The sequence below is a fragment of the Homo sapiens genome, chromosome 22 (genome assembly GCF_000001405.40).
Source record: "Homo sapiens chromosome 22, GRCh38.p14 Primary Assembly".
Lineage (NCBI taxonomy): Eukaryota > Metazoa > Chordata > Mammalia > Primates > Hominidae > Homo > Homo sapiens.
This window is the reverse complement of record NC_000022.11, coordinates 26,794,737-26,796,509: the sequence shown is the minus strand read 5'-3', so window position 1 is coordinate 26,796,509 and position 1,773 is coordinate 26,794,737. Positions and strand designations below refer to the sequence as shown.

General features: G+C 48.6%; 1 annotated feature.

Annotated features, from left to right (window-relative positions):
- Window positions 310-604: a silencer, noted in NCBI's record as "tiled region #7329; HepG2 Repressive non-DNase unmatched - State 22:ReprW". NCBI's record gives its function as "represses a minimal TATA promoter and a strong SV40 promoter by Sharpr-MPRA in HepG2 cells {active_cell/tissue: HepG2}" and the evidence as "EXISTENCE:reporter gene assay evidence [ECO:0000049][PMID:27701403]".

The following is a 1,773-nucleotide window of genomic DNA, read 5'->3' as shown; positions in this document are numbered from 1 at the left end:
AACGTAACAATGGCAGCCACTGTTACAGCTCTTCCTAAGGCTAGCAGGGTGATGTTATGGTCACTATGATTATAGTAGACATCTCTGCTACCCTACTCAGGATCCATGGATGCGCCACCCACCATTATCCCCACTCCAGGGAGCTGCCTGCCAGGAACTGATGCTTCCGACCTCCTCACCAGGGCTTAATTAGGTCTCATAGAAGGCAGAGATGGCTCAGGGCCTGCAGGGAGCTTGGGGCAGAGGAAGCTGCAGGGAGGGGAGGAGGTGTCTGCAGGGAGAAAGATGGGGCAGGATGGGAATCTCTTCTGACTGGGAATGCCCCTCCTTCTCCCCCACCAAGGCCTCTCTCACTCTGAAGTGAAGTGTGGTAGTCAGCTAAACACACACACACACACACACACACACACACACACACACACACACACACACATGCATGCATACACATGCTCACAGGCACAGCTCTTCAAGCTCTTCGTTCATTCTTTAGCCTGGAACAAAACCTCTGCCAAGTTATCAAGGCAGGATATGGCTTCATCATGATTCAGAGTCAGACTCACTGGAGTTTGAATCCTTGGCTCTGCTCTTCCCCTGCTGTGTGACCTTGAGCTGCTGGCCTTCCCCCTCTGTTGCTTCATTTTTGAAATAGGGGTGCTAACTGCACCCATTCTACAAGGCTGCTGTGAGGGGTAAATAGAAGCAAGTGAAGGGCTTCACCCAGCCGAGCACAGAGTCAATTCCCCTTTTGTGTCAGCTACATGGTTAGTAGCATAACTGTATCACTCAGGATAGGATCCATCCTGCTGCTGTAACAAGTAACCCCCAAATCGTCCTACGTTTATTTCATGCTTGTGTTGCATGCCTATTGGGTTGGCATGGAAAAGGGAGGCTCTCATTACTGTCACTCAGGGCCTCAGGTTGACAGGGCACAGTCACCATCTCAAATATTAGCCATAGCCAGAGGGAAAGAGAAATCTGTAGTCTCAAACCTGGAATCAAATGCTCCAGCCTGGACAGGAACATGTGCTCAACTCATTGGCCAGAACTATACCGTAACCCCACCTACCTGCAAGACAGCCAGGAAATGCAAGCTTCACGTGCCCAGAAGGCAGAAAGACAAAAATGTGGTGAACAACATGTCCAACTCCCACCCTAGCAATGGCTCATTTAGAATCCTAGAAGCTTACACATGGAAAAACAATCCTTCAGACCATTTAATCCAACCCTCTAGTTTTTCAGATTGGGGGCTTAGGACCCAGTGAGGGAAAGAGACTTACCTAAGGTCACACAGCCAATTGACTTCAAAACTGAGATTCTGTGTTAATCTGTTTTCACATTGCTACAAAGAAATATCTGAAACTGGGTAGTTTATAAAGAATAGAGGTTAATTGGCTCATGGTTCTGCAGGCTGTACAGGAAACATAGCAGCTTCTGCTTCTGGGGAGGCCTCAGGAAGCTTCCAATCATGGCAAAAGGCAAAGGGGGAGTGAGGAGGTGTGAACACGGCAGGAACAGGAGCAAGGTGCAGGAAGGTGCTACACACTTTTAAACAACCAAATCTCATGAGAACTCACTATCACGAGAACAGCACCAAGGAGATGGTTCTGAACCATTCATAAGAAATTAACCTCCAGGATCCAATCACCTCCCATCAGGCCCCACCTCCAACACTGGTGATTACAATTCGACATGAGATTTGGTGGGGACACAGATCCAAACCATATCAGATTCCAAGCCACGTCTCCTTAGCTCCAGACTAGGTCATCCTGGATT